Source organism: Homo sapiens, chromosome 19 (assembly GCF_000001405.40).
Source record: "Homo sapiens chromosome 19, GRCh38.p14 Primary Assembly".
Classification (NCBI taxonomy): domain Eukaryota; kingdom Metazoa; phylum Chordata; class Mammalia; order Primates; family Hominidae; genus Homo; species Homo sapiens.
In genome coordinates, this window is record NC_000019.10 from 21,464,167 (window position 1) to 21,482,017 (window position 17,851).

Consider the following 17,851-nt stretch of genomic DNA (forward strand, 5'->3'; position numbering starts at 1 on the left):
TCCATTTATAAATTTTATTCATACACACATATATGTTGTTCACAAATGGAAACACTATAATAACAATTATTTTAAAATTTAACATTTCATAAGCTTTCTGGCCTTTAGTCTTTTGAGTAGGCAACCTGGGATTTTAAAAGAAAAACAGGGCCGGGAGTGGTGGCACCAAGAAGAAAAAAAGTTTATAGAATCTCAAAAAGAAATAAGAAAAAGGCGGGGCATGGTGGCTCACGCCTGTAATTCCGGCACTTTGGGAGACCGAGGCGGGCAGATCACCTGAGGTCGGGAGTTCGACACCAGCCTGGCCAACATGGTGAAACCCCGTCTCTACTAAAAATACAAAAATTAGCCAGGCGTGGTGGCAGGCGCCTTAATCCCAGCTACTTGGGAGGCAGAAGCAGGAGAATCGTTTGAACCCGGGAGGCGGAGGTTGCAGTGAGCCGAGATCGAGCCATTGCACTCAAGCCTGGGGGACAAGAGTGAGACTTCTCTCAAAAAAAAAAAAAAAAAGAAAAAGAAAAAAAACTCTTTAACTTAAACACACACACAACTTCAGAGAAAACGTATCTGAGAATGTGAAACACCCAGCATTCATAGCCTGGCTGATTACTGTCAGTATCTCCCCTTTACTAAGCCGGTCTTTAAATGCTGGATTAGATGGCTGTTGTATAAATCCTCAGATATCACTTAAAAAAAAAAATCACAGGGCATAGAGAAAAGACAGGAAATATGTCCCACTTGAAGGAGCAAAATAATATCCAGAAATTGAATCTTAAGAAATGAAGTTTTTGCATATCTGATAAAGAATTCAAAATATTTGGCCGGGCACGGTGGCTCATGCCTGTAATCCCAGCACTTTGGGAGGCTGAGGCAGGTGGATCACAAGGTCAGGAGTTCGAGACCAGCCTGGCCAATGTGGTGAAACCTGGTCTCTACTAAAAATACAAAATAATAGGCCGGGCGTGGTGGCTCACGCCTGTAATTCCAGCACTTTGGGAGGCCAAGGTGGGCAGATCACGAGGTCAGGAGATCGAGACCATCCTGACTAATATGGTGAAACCTCGTCTCTACTGAAAAAAAATACAAAAAATTAGCCGGGTGTGGTGGCAGGCGCCTGTAGTCCCAGCTACTTGGAGGGTGAGGCAGGAGAATGGCGTGAACCTGGGAGGTGGAGCTTGCAGTGAGCCCAGATCGCACCACCGCACTCCAGCCTGGGCGACAGAGCGAGACTTCCATCTCAAAATAAATAAATAAATAATAATCATCATCATCTTAGAATGCTCAATGAACAAAAATAAAACACAAATAGACAACTAAATGAGATTTAGAAATAATGAGCGAAATATCAAAGATATAAAAACTTTTTTAAATTTTTAATTAATTTATTTTTTTTAGATGGACTCTCGCTCTGTTGCCCAGGCTGGAGTGCAATGGTGCGATCTCAGCTCACTGCAACCTCCGCTTCCCGGGTTCAAGTGATTCTCCTGCCTCAGCCTCCCGAGTAGCTGGGATTACAGGCACCTGCCACTGCGCCTGGCAATTTTTGTATTTTTAGTAGAGAAAGGGTTTCACCATCTTGGCCAGGCTGGTCTTGAACTCCTGACCTTGTGATCCACCTGCCACGGCCTCCCAAAGTGCTGGGATTACAGGCATGAGCCACCATGCCCAGCCAGCAGGCAGGTTTTCTTGTAGACGGAATGAAAGCAAGGAAAGCTGGAATGAGCTCAGCCCTATCAGGCACCCTAAAGGCTGCCTGGGGTTGCCTGCAAGGCCATCTAGCCTTCTGCTTCCTGGCAGGCTGGTCAAGCACTTATTCTGGTCTCTTTGAGACTTTGATTTCCTGGAAGGAGAGGGCCCTCCTTTCCACTGGACTGAGTGGCCAGGGCCATCCAGCTTCCCACCCTCCACTAACAACCATGGGGTGCCCTCCTGAGCACACACTGCCCAATTATGGCCCTTCTTAGGCAGGAGCTCATTTGTCTTACACTTTCAGCCTGCTGGGGCTTAGAAGTTATCAGTGCTGTTATTAAGATAGAGAAATGAGGGGGGAAAGTTGCTTTAAAAATCTTCCATAATCTTATTATGGAAATCACCAGCGCAGATGCCAGCACAGGTGGGGCTCCTGAGGATGCTGGGGGAGAGTTCCCAGCCTGTCCTGGCAGCCGGTCCTTGCCAGGGATGGCTCATGCCCCAGCTCCAGAGAGAAGCAGGTAGACATCTCTGCAAGGAGCTGCGGGCTGCAGCTCAGGACAGCCAAGCCCCACTGGTGGTGGAGTGGGGCTACATCCCATCAGGCTGTGTCTCTTCCACAGCAGACCCTTGGAGCCAGGAGGTGATTTACAGTGTGTGCAAGGCAGTAAGCTCCATCAGCTGCATGGCCTTCAGCACTCACTTCAACATTCACTTCAACTCTGATATCTCGCCACAGAAGCAGTGGGGACTGGCCTGTGCAGAAGCCCTGAAAGTGGGACAGAGCCTCATGTGGCCGGGCGGCAGGTGGGGCAAGGAGGGGTTCTGAGTCCTCGGTGCTGGTTGGCCTGTCTGCCCATCTGAGCACTGCTCCCTGGGAGTGTGCTCTGCAGGCCTCCTAAAGGAGGGCTGTGAGCTCATCACTGAGGCCCTGAGCACCTCCTTGCTCCTCCCCACTACATTACCGGTGACTATGCTGAGGTGGGCCTCGAGCACCCTCTGGGCTGTGTCATCAAACGTCTTTGGACCTGGCCTGGCAAATGAGGGATGGCAAATGAGGAGTCTGGAGTTTCATTGTCACCCTCTATGGTAGCAGGAAATGGGAGAGTCCAGGCCTGCAGGACTGGAACCCTATCGAGGGAGTTAAGAGGCTGTTCACTTCCCCTCCGGGCCCCATGTGGAGGAGTGGATGGAGTCTAGGGAGACACTGGGGAGTCACTTGTTTTGTCTGGGCTTCCCCTAGTTCCACCCTTTGTTAACCATTTCCTTGGGAGAGTTCAGGAAACTCCTGTGCTCTAGTGAGGCGGGACCTCCCCTCACAGGGTATTGGTGAGGAGGCGTTCTGAGACTCTGAGTGAGAAGCTACCACAGTGCCTGACAAGTACCTGTGGGAGCTGTCATCCTCTGTAACCACCATGTGGCCTTGTAGTGTTCAGGCTGCCTGTCCTGTCCTAAGGCTTGGTGGGGCTTTTGGGGGGTCAGCTGCTTTAGGGTCCCACTCTCTCCTCAAAGTGGCTGTTTTTGTGTTTGTTTGTTTATGGGTTTTAAAACACTTAATATTTCATTTATAGTAGTTTCAGGCTTGCATGTGTGTATTTGTATAGATTTTATTAGAAAGAAAAGGACTTAAGACAACATTTTTAGAAGGTCTCCGTGGCGCATAGAGTTCCATGTCACAACAGCTGATGTTGACCTCCTTCTGTTGCCTTTGTGCAAAGTATAAATAGAAAGTGCAAGCCAGAGGTGCCGAGGCTCAGTGTCTAGAGCTGAGCCACTTGGGCTTGCTTGCTGGCCTGCAGCCACGTGGACTCTGGGTGTGAGGTGTTGCCCATCCTGGATCAACAGCCCCCACCCCTCTCCCCAGGTCCTGAGTAACCAACACAAGGCAGTGCTAATGAGCAGGTGAGAAATGGACATCGAGCACCCCAATACCACCCAGGAAGATTTGAATGGCATTTGGACTCAGGCTGTGTGGGGGTAGGGGCTGTGTGGGGGTAGGGGCTTGTCATGGTGCCACCCACAGATGCCCCTGCCCTATGCTGCTTCCCCAGCAGCCAGCTGTCCATGGCCCTGAGCCTGTCACACCATGCCTGCTACCTCACGCTGTTCATGTTTGATGAAAACCATCCCAAGATGGTGCTGCTGGATGTGAGTGCTGGAAAGGGGGCAGCACCATTGTCCTAGGAGATTATGAGCTGACCAGATCCCTACTGACTGCCCCCCAGGACAAGTGGGGGCTGGTGCTGCATTGAATGATGCCCCCCCCAGGAGATGTGTTTGCATTGGCTCAATGAATATACAATGCAGAGGCATAAATGAAGACATGTGAATGGTGTATGTGGACATCAGCTTGCAGCTGGGAAAAAGGTGCCTCTCAGGTCCCTCATTCTTCCCAGCAACTGTAGAATGTGTCCATGCCAATGAGTGTATAGATCTGTCCTTCTTAACTTGTACACAACTCCAGGTCAGTTCCGAGTGAATGACATGCAGATGGGATTTCTCGAGTCATTTGTATGCTTCATATTATGGCTGCTGCTTTTGCTGCCACTACCCCCAGACCCAACCTGGTTTGAAGTTCAGGCTTTAAGTAAAAAAGATCGAGGGCCTCCTTGTGTTCTGGGATGGAAAGTCAGAGACCTGTGGTAGGGCTAGGGTTTTGGGTACACTTTAGTTTTGTGGCAGGATGAGAACTGCAGTGATTATAATTGTGATTGGCCTGGCCTGATTGTAACTCTGGGTGACAGGGAGGGAGTCAGCAGTGGTGGTCCCCCAGACATCCATGTGCCTAGGCCTGGCCTGCCTGCCCTCAGTACCAGCAAAAAGGCAACACCACAGGCTCTGACTTGCCTCCCTACTCCCTGCACCCCAGATGGGAATACCTTGGAGGCTACAATCTGAATGTATTATTCTCCCTGTCTTAACCAGACCTCCCTAACACACACTGAGGGTAGAGTAGGTTTGGGGCCTGGGGAGAACCAGAGCTGAATCATGAATCCCGGGGGAATGTTAAAGATACAGGAGTGGTTGTCACCGCTCTGTTGAGCCCAGCTTCCTACCTGGTCCTGGCCACACAGCCCCTTAAACGGAGACTAGCTCTGGGGGTAGTTAGGGACCCTATAGGCCCAGGCTGCTCTCTGTCCCCACCTGCCGGTGCTACTTCTCTTGCCTACTGTCAGAGCCCTAACATGGAGAAGGAGGTTGCCACCCTGTGAGCCTGAGGGAGCTGTGTCTGACTGGGGCTTCTGCCTGGGATTTTGCAAAAAGATACCTATGAATATGGTTTGCCTAGATATCTTGTTTTTGGTTTTTTGTTTTTTTTTTTTTTTGGAGACGGAGTCTTGCTCTGTGCCCAGGCTGGAGTGCAATGGCGTGATCTCAGCTCACTGCAAGCTCTGCCTCCTTGGGTTCACGCCATTCTCCTGCCTCAGCCTCCCCAGTAGCTGGGACTACAGGTGCCTGCCACCACGCCCGGCTAATTTTTTTTTTTTTTTTTGTATTTTTAGTAGAGACGGGGTTTCACTGTGTTAGCCAGGATGGTCTCGATCTCCTGACCTCGTGATCCGCCTGCCCAGCCTCCCAAAGTGCTGGGATTATAGGTGTGAGCCACCGCGCCCGGCCGATATCTTGTTTTAAAGGGAGTGGCCATAAGCTAGCAAGTGGAGCATCCCCACCACTGATTAATAACATTTTCTTGTTTTTAACCCATCATATTTTCATATCACATTAGAATAAAGTAAGTTTTTATAAACTACTGCTCCAGCCTCACCCGTGTGTTTTGTAACCCAGTCTGATTTGATTGTGAGGACTGTTGTCAGAAATGTTGCTAAGAGAGAAATATGTATAAATTAGATCATATTTAAGGTTATGCTTATAATGCCACTTGAGTGGGAAGTAAGAGTGTGGAGTCACAGGGACTCAGCTGGGGTTTGCCCACACCACTTACTAGGCTCATGAAAGTGTGGCACAGGTGAATATCACCTGTCATTGGTGACAGAAGAAAAAAGGCTAAGGCCAGGCGCAGTGCCTCAAGCCTGTAATCCCAGCACTTTGGGAGGTCGTGGTGGGCTGATCACCTCGATCAGTAGTTCAAGACCAGCCTGGCCAACATAGTGAAATCCTGTCTCTACTAAAAATACAAAAATTAGCTTGGCATGGTGGTGTGAGCCTGTAATCCCAGCTACTTGGGAGGCTGAGGCAGGAAAACTGCTTGAACCCCAGAGATGGAGTTGTAGTGAGCCAAGATCATGCCACTGCACTCCAACCTGGGCAACAGAGCAAGCCTACATCTAAGAAAGAAAGAGAGAGAAAGGAAGGAAGGAAGGAAGGAAGGAAGGAAGGAAGGAAGGAAGGAAGGAAGGAAGGAAGGGAGAGAGAAAGGAATGGAAAGGAAAGGAAAAGAAAAAAAGAAAAGAAAAAATCCTGGAGGGAAGGCCAGGGGAGGAGAGATGCTAGGCTGTGGGGCTGAGCACTGGGCATGCTGGACCTGTTAGGTCACTGAACATCTAACTGCCAAGGCACTTGCCCTTGTCAGGTCAGTCGAGGTAAGGAAATTAGGCAGCACTCTCCAGAAGTCCCACTGTACTGGGAGAATGGAGGAGGGTCTACAACTTGCCATTCTAGGGTAGGTTTTAGAGCAAGCTGGGCTCTCTTGGAGAGCTAATGAGATGGGAGGAAGGCAATATTCCAGACCTGAGGGACAGAGCCTGTGAAGTAAGAGGGGGTATGTGGAGGTGGCCTGACCCTATAAGAGGGGGAGTTCACAGTTATTATAGCTGGTGGCTGTTGCTCAGCCATCCCTCTCCAGAGCAGACACACACACACACACACACACACACACACACACACACGTGTATATTTCACTCTGTCACCCAGGCTGGAATGCAGTGACTGAATCATGGGTTACTGCAGCCTCAACCTCTTAGGCTTAAGTGATCTTTCCACCTCAGCCTCTCAAGCAGCTGGGACTATAGGCATGCAACACCACACCTGGCCAATTAGCCTCATGTATAGCTAAATGCCCTTTGGAGTGTTTGGAGAGTCCTTCATGTCTTAGAAATTCTGAAAAAACAAACAAACAAAAATATTCCAATCCTAATGTCTGTTAGTTCCTCTGAGCCAAGTGGGAAAAGATGTCCTTCACCTTGAAGTTTTAAGTGATACCCAAGGATAGCCACCAGTGTCTTGGCCATGGAAGCCTCCTGCGTGCTTCCTGCCCCCAGTTTGATTTGCAGCCTCATGGTTGTGTTGTCCTAAACATGCTTTCCTCTGGCCTTGTCCAGTGAATATGGTTCACGTGGGGAACACCACTTCTTGAGGGCGACACCATGTAAAGCTGAGAATGGATTGGGTTTAGGTACATTGTAACTCCTTGTCACCTGAGAGGCCCATTTTTCCTGATTGATTCCTTAAGTGTATTAGTGCTGTCAGACACCTTTGGACAAATCAAATAACAAGGGGCTGTAGTTTTATAAAGGAAACAAAGTCTTTAAATATCAAATCCTCTTTTTCTCCTCCATGTTTTTTTTAGGTGAAATATTTCAATTTTTCTTTTCTTTCTTTCTTTTTTTTTTTGAGACAGAGTTTCGCTCTTGTTTTCTAGGCTGGAGTGCGGTGGCATGATCTCAGCTCACTGCAACCTCTGCCTCCTGGGTTTAAGTGATTCTCCTGCCTCAACCTCCCGAGTAGCTGGGGTTACGGGCACGTGCCACCATGCCGGGCTAATTTTGTATTTTTAGTAGAGACGGGGTTTCACCATGTTGGCCAGGCTGGTCTCAAACTCCTGACCTCAGGTGATATGCCCACCTAGGCCTACCAAAGTACTGGGATTATAGGCATGACCCACCGTGCCCGGCCTCAATTTTTCTTTAAAAATGGGTAAATAGTGGTATGTCAGCAGGCTTAGTGTGAGAATTGGCATGTGGCTGGGAGTGGTGGTTCATGCCTGTAATCCCAGCACTATGGGAGGGTGAGGCAGGCAGATAATTTGAGGTCAGGAGTTTGAGACCAGACTGGCCAACATGGTGAAACCCCATCTCTACCATAAAATACAATAATTAGCCAGGCATGATGGTGGGCACCTGTAGCCCCAGCTACTTGGGAGGCGGAGGTAGGAGAATCGCTTGAACCCAGGAGGCAGAGGTTGCAGTGAGCCCAGACTGCACCACTGCACCGCAGCCTGGGCTACACAGTCAGTCAGACCCTGTCTCAAAAAAAAAAAAAAAAAAGAGAGAGAGAGAGAATTGGCATGAGCTAGGTGATGGTTCCTGTGTGGATGGGCAGTTTTTCAAAATAGAAAACCAAGTCTCACCGAGTTGCAGGAGCCACTTTTCTTTTTTTTTTTTTTTAATCTATTTTTATTTTTTTGAGACAGAGTTTTACTTTTGTCGCCCGGGCTGGAGTGTAGTGGTGTGATCTCGGCTCACTGCAACCTCCGACTCCCGGTTTCAAGCGATTCTCCTGTCTCAGCCTCCCGAGTAGCTGAGATTACAGGTGCCCACCACCATGCCCAGCTAATTTTTGTACTTTTAGTAAAGACAAGGTTTCACCATGTTGGCAAGGGTGGTCTCAAACTCCTGACCTGAGGCGATTCCCGCCCACCTTGGCCTCCCAAAATGCTGGAATTACAGGTGTGAGCCACCGCACCCAGCCCACACTCACCTTTCTTCACATACCCCCACCCCCAAGGTCTTTCACTTTTTTTCTGTGCTTGAAATTTTTTTAACATACATATTATTTTTAAAAATAAATTATATAACACACACACACACTCAGAGGTCTCACTCTGTCACCCAGGCTGGAGTGCAGTGGCTGAATCATGGGTTACTGCACTCTCAAACTCTTAGGCTCAAGTGATTTTTCCACCTCAGCCTCTCAAGTAGCTGGGACTATAGGCATGCAATACCACACCTGGCCAATTTTAAAATTTTTTTGTAGAGACTGAGGCTTAAAATGTTGCCCAGACTGGTCTTAAACTCCTGGGCTTAAGTGATCATTTCACCTTGGCCTGCCTCCCAAAGTGTTTGGATAACAGGTGTGAGCCATCAAGCCCAGGCAAAAAAAAAAATTTTTTTTTTTTTTTGATACAGAGTCTCGCTCTATTGCTCAGGCTCGAGTGCAGCTGCACGATCTCGGCTCACCACAACCTCTGCCTCCCGGGTTCAAGCAATTCTCCTGTCTCAGCCTCCCAAGTAGCTGGGACTACAGGGGCCTGCCACCATGCCCAGCTAATTTTTGTATTTTTAGTAGAGACGGTGTTTCACTATGTTGGCCAGGCTGGTCTCAAACTCCTGACTTTGTGATCCGCCCACCTCAGCCTCCCAAAGTGCTGGGATTACAGACGTGAGCCACCATGCCCGGCCTCAAAAATATATATTTTAAAATTTTTATTTCTTTTTGAGACGAAGTTTTTCCCTTGTTGCCCAGGCTGGAGTGCAATGGCATGATCTGGGCTCACTGCAACCTGTGCCTTCCAGGTTCAAGCGATTGTCCTGCCTCAGCCTCCTCAGTAGCTGGGATTACAAGCATGTGCCACCACGCCCGGCTATTTTTTGTATTTTTAGTAGAGGTGGGGTTTCACCATGTTGCCCAGGGTGGTCTTGAACTCCTGACCTCAGGTGATCCACCCGCCTCGGCCTCCAAAAGCGCTGGGATTACAGGCGTGAGCCGCTGCAGCTGGCCCTCAAAAATATTTTTTAAAGAACTGTTACAACCAAATAATGAGCTATGATGTGCCACTGCACTCCAGCCTGGGCACCAGAGTGAGACCTTGTCTCCAAAAACAAAACACAAAAACTTATAACAAAATTGAACTAATAAGGTTGTGTCATCTGTGTCCCCTCCCTACCCTCCAAGCTATCACTGTTAAATATAATGGGTATTGAGAAAACTGTTAGATATTATTAAAGAATTCCTATGTATCCTCCAGTTGAAAAGGTGTTCTGATGTGGCTCAAGTGCTTTCTGACCTCTACCTCCAGGGTCTAAACTAGCAAATCAAATCAGGACACCTACAGAAAACCGTTGGCCATTTTCTTTTCTTTCTTTCTTTTTTTTTTTTTTGAGACGGAGTTTCACTCTTGTTGCCCAGGCTGGAGTGCAATGGCGCGATCTCGGCTCACTGCAACCTCCGTCTCCCAGGTTCAAGCAATTCTCCTGCCTCAGCCTCCTGAGTAGCTGGGATTACAGGCGTGCACCACCACGCCTGGCTAATTGTATTTTTAGTAGAGACGGGGTTTCTCCATGTTGAGGCTGGTCTTGAACTCCTGACCCCAGGTGATCCGCCCGCCTCGGCCTCCCAAAGTGCTGGGATTACAGGCGTGAGCCACAGCGCCCAGCCTGGCCATTTTCAAATAGAAAATGAAACACACCCGTTAATGAAAGTAATCCAGTGATTTTCAAAAGGAGAAGTCAGACTGAGATGCAGCGCAGTCAGGGCACAATTACCCCAAGGATAGACGCTTCACACAAAATGCCTGAGGAGCCTTTCTAAGATGAGCACATTTGGCCAACGTAATTCATGCTTACCCATTCTCAGCCCCCTCTGCCCACCTCCCCCCCGCCCCATTCCTAATGGCCATCCCACGATGTGGTCAGCAGTGTGGTACAGCATGGTGAGAGAGGGGCTCAGGGATGGGATGAAGGTTTTTCCTGCATTATCAAAATGATTAAAAAGTTGTTAAAAAGGTGTCCAAATTTTCTTTTTACCCTAAAATAACTACTCAGATGCATTATACAAGTAGACCCAGGTAAGGGAAAGAGCAAGCGCATTTCAAGCCTCAGCTCACTTCTTAATTAGCTGTAATTCCCTGAGCAGGTGACCCTGCCTACTTCAGCCTGTTTCCCTGCCCATAAAATGCACTAATGCTGGGGAAGCCGCGCTGGGAGGTGGGTCCTGAAGCTTTATCCAATCAGTGGCGCTGGCGCGGGAACCGCCCAATCAGGCGCGGAGTTGGAGAGGAGGGCGTGGCCTCCGGCATTTGGCGGGCCCTTTGTCTCGCTCCTGCCAGAGTTTTAGTTGCCTGTCTCTGCTATTCTGCGTCCTCCACCTCGGGAGCCCCAGGTGACTTTGTCACAGCCGGTGGGTGTGCGGGTTGAGCATCCCGAGATGGGAGAGCGGCCTGTGAAACCGGCTGGACCGGCCTCCCCACAGTCCGCTCCTGGGTCGCCGACCTGAGTCCCCGCTGGCACAGCTCCGCTCCAGGCCACTCTGGCCGCAAGATGGCGGCTGGACTCGCAGCCAGGACCACAGCGTCCCGCCAGTTTCTGCGCGGCGCCAGTCCGGGGCTCTCTGGGCAGCTCTGCACCCGCAATCCCGAGTATTTCCCGGGTTGTTCAGGGAAGACAGGCGGGTCATCGGCAGAATCCCCACTCGGTGTATGCGTTGGAGGGGCTGCTGCCCGTGGGGTCTTAAGTCTTTTCTGATTATTATTATTTTTTTGTGAGACGGAGTCTCGCTTTTGTCTCCAGGCTGGAGTGCAGTGGCATGATCTCGGCTCACTGCAACCTCCGCCTCCTGGGCTCAAGCGATTCTCGAGCCTCAGTCTCCCGAATATCTGGGATTACAGGCACCCGCCACCATGCCCGGCTAATTTTTTGTATTTTTAGTAAAGACAGGGTTTCACTATGTTGGCCAGGCTGGTCTTGAACTCCTGACCTCAGATGGTCCGCCCCCCTCGGCCTCCGAAAGTGCTGGGATTACAGGCGTGAGCCACCGCGCCCGGCCACAAAGAAATTTTTCCGCCGTCCTTTTCGGCCACAAATAAATTTTTCCGCCGTACTTTTCGTATTTATTAAATTTTCTCATTAGAGCCTATTATTGATTGTAATGCATTTTTCTGTGAAATTTTGCTGCCATTCATTGAATGCCAATGATTCAGAATGCCTGCTCTGCAAGAGTACACACAGCTAAAAACTGTAGATATCTAAAGAATTATTTTTAATATCTATGTTGTATTCAGCATATTATGCGTTAAAATCTCTCTTGGCCGGGCGCGGTGGCTCACCCCTGTAATCCCAGCACTTTGGGTGGCCAAGGCGGGTGGATCACCTGAGGTCAGGAGACCAGCCTGGCCAACATGGTGAAACTCCTTCTCTACTAAAAGAAAAATACAAAAATTAGCCAGGCTTGGTGGTGGGTGCCTGTAATCCCAGCTACTCGGGAGGCTGAGGCAGGAGAATCGCTGGAATTCGGTAGGCTGAGGTTGCAGTGAGCCAAGATCACGCCACTGCACTCCAGTATGGGTTACAAGAGCGAGACTCCGTCTCAAAAAAATAAATAAATAAAATCTCTCTTATTTTTATTTCTACATTAGTGTTTCTTTTCGAGGGGGTATGTTTTTTTAGATCAGTTAATTGTATTTTTGCTTTCAAAGCTTGATATTATGAATTGAATGATAATTTTCAACTCTGTACAATTTTAGACAATGTGATGCTTAATTTATATATGAATTAGCCGTATGTCATCTATAGAAATATCGATGTGTTTTTCATCTGTGTTGCCACTACTTCGTTTATGACATACTCTTTCCATGGTTTTCAATGATTATTCTGTCTAGGTGAGTAGTCGGGAAAATAATCCTAAATTCACAATCTACTTATATTTTGAATCTGTATAATTATGTGAGAAGAACACTCTTTATTTGAAGGTAATGTTTGAAAAATGTCGTAATGTCTCTTATGTAGTCTTTAATTTTTTTTTTTGAGACTGAGTCTCTGTCGCCCAGGCTGGAGTGCAGTGGCGCGATCTTGGCGGGACTCCATCTCAAAAAAAAAAAAAAAGAGCTTCTGCACAGCAAAAGAAACTATCAACAGAGTAAACAGATAACATACAGCATGGGAGAAAATTTTTGCAAACTATGCATCCGTCGAAGGTCTAATGTCTAGCATCTATAAGAACTTAAACAAATTTACAGTAGAAAAACAACAACCCCGGCTGTGCGTGGTGGCTCATGCCTGTAATTCCAGCACTTTGGGAGGTCGAGACGTTTGGATCACTTGAGGTCAGGAGTTCAAGACCAGCCTGGCCAACATGGCGAAACCCTGTCTCTACTAAAAGTACAAAAATTAGCTGGCTGTGGTGGCATATGCCTATAATCCCAGCTACTGGGGAGGCTGAGGCAGGAGAATCGCTTGAACCCAGGAGGCGGAGATTGCAGTGAACCAAGAGTGCACCACTGCACTCCAGCCTGTGTCAAAGAGTAAGACTCTATCTCAAAAAAAAAAAAAAAAGAAAAACACCAACTCCATAAAAAAGTGGATGAAATAGGGCCAGGCTCAGTGGCTCATGCCTGTAATTCCAGCACTTTGGGAGGCCAAGGTGGGTAGATCACTTGAGGTCAGGAGTTCAAGATCAGCCTAGCCAACATGGTAAAACCCCATCTCTATTAAAAATACAAAATATCGCTGGGCACAGTGGCTCATGCCTGTAATCTCAGCACTTTGGGAGGTCAAGGTGGGCGGACCACCTGAGGTTGGCAGTTCGAGACCAGCCTGACCAACATGGAGAAACCCCATCTCTACTAAAAATACAATTAGCCGGGCATGGTGGTGCATGTTTGTAATCCCAGCTACTCTGGAGACTGAGGCAGGAGAATCACTTGAACCCAGGAGGCAGAGGTTGTGGTGAGCCAAGAGTGCACCATTGCACTCCAGCCTGGGCAGCAAGAGCGAAACTCCATCTCATGATGGTGGACACCTGTAATCCCAGCTACTAGGGAGGCTGAGGCAAGAGAATTCCTTGAACCTGGGAGGCAGAGGTTGCAGTGAGCTGGGATCCAGCCTGGGTAACAGAGCAAGACTGCCTCTCCAAAAAAAAAAAAAAAAAAGTGGGGGAAGGACATGAACAGACGTGTATCAACAATCATATGAAAATAAGCGCAACACCACTGATTGTTAAATAAATGCAAATCAAAACCACAATGAGATACCATCTCATGCCTGTTAGAAAGGCTATTTTTAATAAGTTACAGAAATAACAGATGCTGGCGAGGTTGTGGAGAAAAAGAAATGGTTATATACTGTTGGTGGGAGTGTAAATTACTTTAGCCATTGTTGAAGACAGTGTGTTGATTTTTTTTTTTTTTCTCCTGAGACAGAGTTTTGCTCTTGTTGCCCAATCTGGAGTGCAATCACACGATCTCAGCTCACTACAACCTCCACCTCCCGGGTTTAAGCGATTCTCCTGCCTCAGCCCCCTGAGTAGCTGGGATTACAGGAACGTGCCACCACACCCAGCTAATTTTTGTAGTTTTAGTAGAGACAGGGTTTCGCCTCATTGGCCAGGCTGGTCTCAAATTCCTGACCTTAGGTGATCTGCCCGCCTTGGCCTCCTAAAGTGTGGGGATTACAGGTGTGAACTGCCATGCCCAGCCTAGTGTGATGAGGAATCCTATTACTGTATATACCCACAGGAATATAAATTATTCTATTATAAATACACATGCACATGTATGTTCACTGCAGCACCATCCACCACAGCAAACACATGGACTCAACCTAAATTTCCATCAATGATACACTGGACAAAGAAAAATGTACATATATACCATGAAATACTATGGAGTCATAAGAAAAATGAGATCATGCCCCTTGCAGAGATCTGCATGGAGCTGGAGGCCATTATCCTTAGCAAACTAACACAGGAACAGAAAACCAAATACTACTTGTTCTCACTTATGAGTGACAAGTAAATAATGAGAACACGGACACGGGGGGGAATGACACACTGGGGTCTTTCAAAAAGTGGAAGGTGGGAAGAGAGGATCAGGAGAAATAATGGTACTAAGCTTAATACCTGGGTTATTAAATAATCTATACAACCCCATGACACAAGTTTACCTATGTAACAAACCTGCACTTGTACCCTAACACTTAAAAGTTTTTAAAAAGACCTATTTGTACCTTTTAAAGAGGAATCAGCCAGTAATTTCAAAGATGATTTTGTTTATAAAACATAATCTTCCACTTGTCCAGTAAATGCTCTTCATTTATTTATTTATTGGAGACAGACACTGTCTCCCAGGCTGGAGTGCAGTGGTGCAGTCTCAGCTCACTGCAACCTTTGCCTCCCAGGTTCTAGCGATTCTCCTGCCTCAGCCTCCCGAGTAGCTGGGATTACAGGCCTATGCCACCACACCTGGCTAATTTTTTATTGTTATTAGAGACGAGATTTCACCATGTTGGCCAGGCTGGTCTTGAACTCTTGACCTCAGGTGATCCACCTCCCTCAGCTTCCCAAAGTGCTGGGATTACAGGCTTGAGCCACCACGCTCAGCCAGAAGCTCTTTAACTTAATTAGATCCCATTTGTTAATTTTTCCTTTTGTTGCAATTGCTTTGGCATCTTTGCCATGAAGTCTTTGCCTGCGCCTGTGTCCTGAATGGTACTGCCTAGGTTGTCTTTCAGAGTTTTTATAGTTTGGGTTTTACATTTAAGTCTTTAATCCATCTTGAGTTATTTTTTGTGTATGGTGTAAGGAAGGGATCCAGGTTCAATTTCCTGCATATGACTAGCCAGTTCTCCCAGCACAATTTATTGCAAATTCTTTCCCCATTGCTTCTTTTTGTCAGCTTTGTCAAAGGTCAGATGGTTGCAGGTGTGCAGCTTGATTTCTGGCCCTCTATTCTGTTCCATTGATCTATGTTTCTGTTCTTGTACTAGTACCATGCTGTTTTGGTGCTGTAGCCCTGTAGTATAGCTGGAAGTTGAGTAGCGTGATGCCTCCAGCTTTGTTATTTTTGCTTAAGATTGCCTTGGCTATTCAGGCTTTTTTGGTTTCATATAAATTTTGAAATAATTACTTTAAATTCTATGAGAATGTCAGCGGTTGTTTATTGGGAATAGCATTGAATATATAAATTGCTTTTGGCAGTATGGACATTTTAATGATATTGATTCTTTCTATTCATGAGCATGGAATGTGTTTTGTTTGTGTCATTTCTGATTTCTTTGAGCAGCAGTTTGTAGTTCTCCTTGAGATCTTTCACCTCCCTAGTTAGGTGTATTCCTAGATATTTTATTCTTTTTGTGGCAACTGTGAATGTGAGTTTGTTCATGATTTGGCTCTCGGCTTGAGTGTTGTTTGTGTATAGGAATGCTGGTAATTTTTGCACATTGATTTTGCATTCTGAGACTTTGCCAAAGTTGTTTATCAGCTTAAGGAGCTTTTGAGCTGAGACTATGGGGTTTTCTATATATAGGATCATGTAATCTGCAAACAAGAATAGTTTGATTTCCTTTCTTCGTATTTGGATGCCCTTTCTTTCTTTCTCTTGCCTGATTACCCAGACCAGAACTTCCAGTACTATGTTGAATAGGAATGATGAGAGACGACATTCTTGTCTCATTCTGGTTTTCAAGGAGAATGCTTCTAGCTTTCGCCCATTCAGTATAATGTTGGCTGTGGGTATGTCATAGATGGCTCTTATCATTTTGAGGTGTCTTTTTTTTCTATACCTAGTTTATTGAGAGTTTTTAACATGAATAGATGTTGAACTGTAATGAAAGTCTTTTCTGCATCTATTGAAATAATCATGTGGTTTTTGCCCCTAGTTCTGTTTCTGTAATGAATCATATTTATTGATTTGGATATGTTGAACCAAACTTGCATCCCAGAGATGAAGCCTACCTGATCATGGTGGATAAGTTTTTTGATTTGCTGCTGAATTTACTTTGCTAGTATTTTGTTGAAGATTTTTACATCAATGTTCATCAAGGATGTTGACATGAAGCTTTCTTTTTTGTTGTATCTTTTTCAGGTTTTCATGTCAAGATGGTTGGTCCTGGCCTCATAGAATGAGTTTAGGGAGAGTCCCTTCTCCTACATTTTTTGGAATAGTTTCAGTAGGAACAGTACCAGCTCTTCTTTGTACATCTGGGAGAATTCAGCTGTGAGTCCACCTGGTCCTGGACTTTTATTGATTGGTAGGCTATTTATTACTGCCTCAATTTCAGAACTCACTATTGTTCTGTTCAGGGATTCAGTTTCTTCCTGGTTCAGTCTTGATAGGGTGTATGCTTCCAGAAATTTTTCCATTTCTTCTAGATTTTCTAGTTCATGTGCATCGACTTGTTCATAATATTCTCTGATGGTTCTCTTCTCTGAGGTCAGTGGTAATATCCCCCTTATTGTTTCTGATTATGTTTATTTGAATCTTCTCTCTCTTCTTATTAGTCTAGCTAGTGGTCTTTTTAGTTATTTTTTCCAAAAAAATACTTCCTGGATTTGTTGGTCTTTTGAATGTGTTTTCATGTCACTGTCTTGTTCAGTGCAGCTCTGATTTTGATTATTTCTTGTTTTCTTCTAGCTTTGGGATTTGTTTGCTTTTGGTTTTCTAGTTCTTTTATTTATTTATTTTATTGTATTTATTTATTTTTTGAGATGGAGTCTCGCTCTGTTGCCCAGGCTGGAGTGCAGTGGTGCAATCTCGGCTCACTGCAACCTCCGCCTCCTAGGTTAAAGCGATTCTCCTGCCTCAGTTTCCCAAGTAGCTGGGATGGACTACAGGGATGTGCCACCACACCTGGCTAATTTTTTGTATTTTTAGTAGAGATGGGGTTTCACCATGTTAGCCAGGATGGTCTCGATCTCCTGACCTTGTGATCCGCCCGCCTCGGCCTCCCAAAGTGCTAGGTTTACAGGCGTGAGCCACCGTGCCTGGCCTTGTTCTCTAGATCTTTTAGTTGTGATGTTATGTTGTTAACTTGAGATCTTCCTAACTTTTTGATGTGAGGCTTTAGTGTCAGAATGTAGTGAGATCAGATGTATTAAGTAAGGCCAGGCGTGGTGGCCGATTCCTGCAATCCCTACACTTCTGGAGGCCAACACGGGAGAATCACTTGAGCCCAGGAGTTTGAGACCAGACTGGGAAACATGTGGAAAACTTGTCTGTACCGAAAATACAAAAATTAGCCAGGTGTGCCAGCACACACCTGTGATTTCAGCTACTTGGGAGGCTGAGGTGGGAGGATCATCTAAGTCTGGGGAGGTTGAGGCTGCAGTAAGCCATGATGGTGCCACTGCACTCCAGCCTGGGTGACAGAGTGAGACCCTGTCAAAAACAAACAAGCAAGCAACAGATATTTTATGCCCTTCTCTGGGTAGGAAGCAAAATGAACAGAACTCAGCATTTTAAAATTTAAATTTTATTTTTGAATTTTAATCTATT

At 46.5% G+C, this 17,851-nt stretch overlaps 1 annotated feature.

The window, feature by feature from the left end:
* Positions 10,329–10,982: an enhancer, noted in NCBI's record as "H3K27ac hESC enhancer chr19:21657297-21657950 (GRCh37/hg19 assembly coordinates)". NCBI's record gives its function as "activates a minimal SCP1, AML or CMV promoter by ChIP-STARR-seq in primed H9 embryonic stem cells {active_cell/tissue: H9 hESC(primed)}" and the evidence as "EXISTENCE:reporter gene assay evidence [ECO:0000049][PMID:30033119]".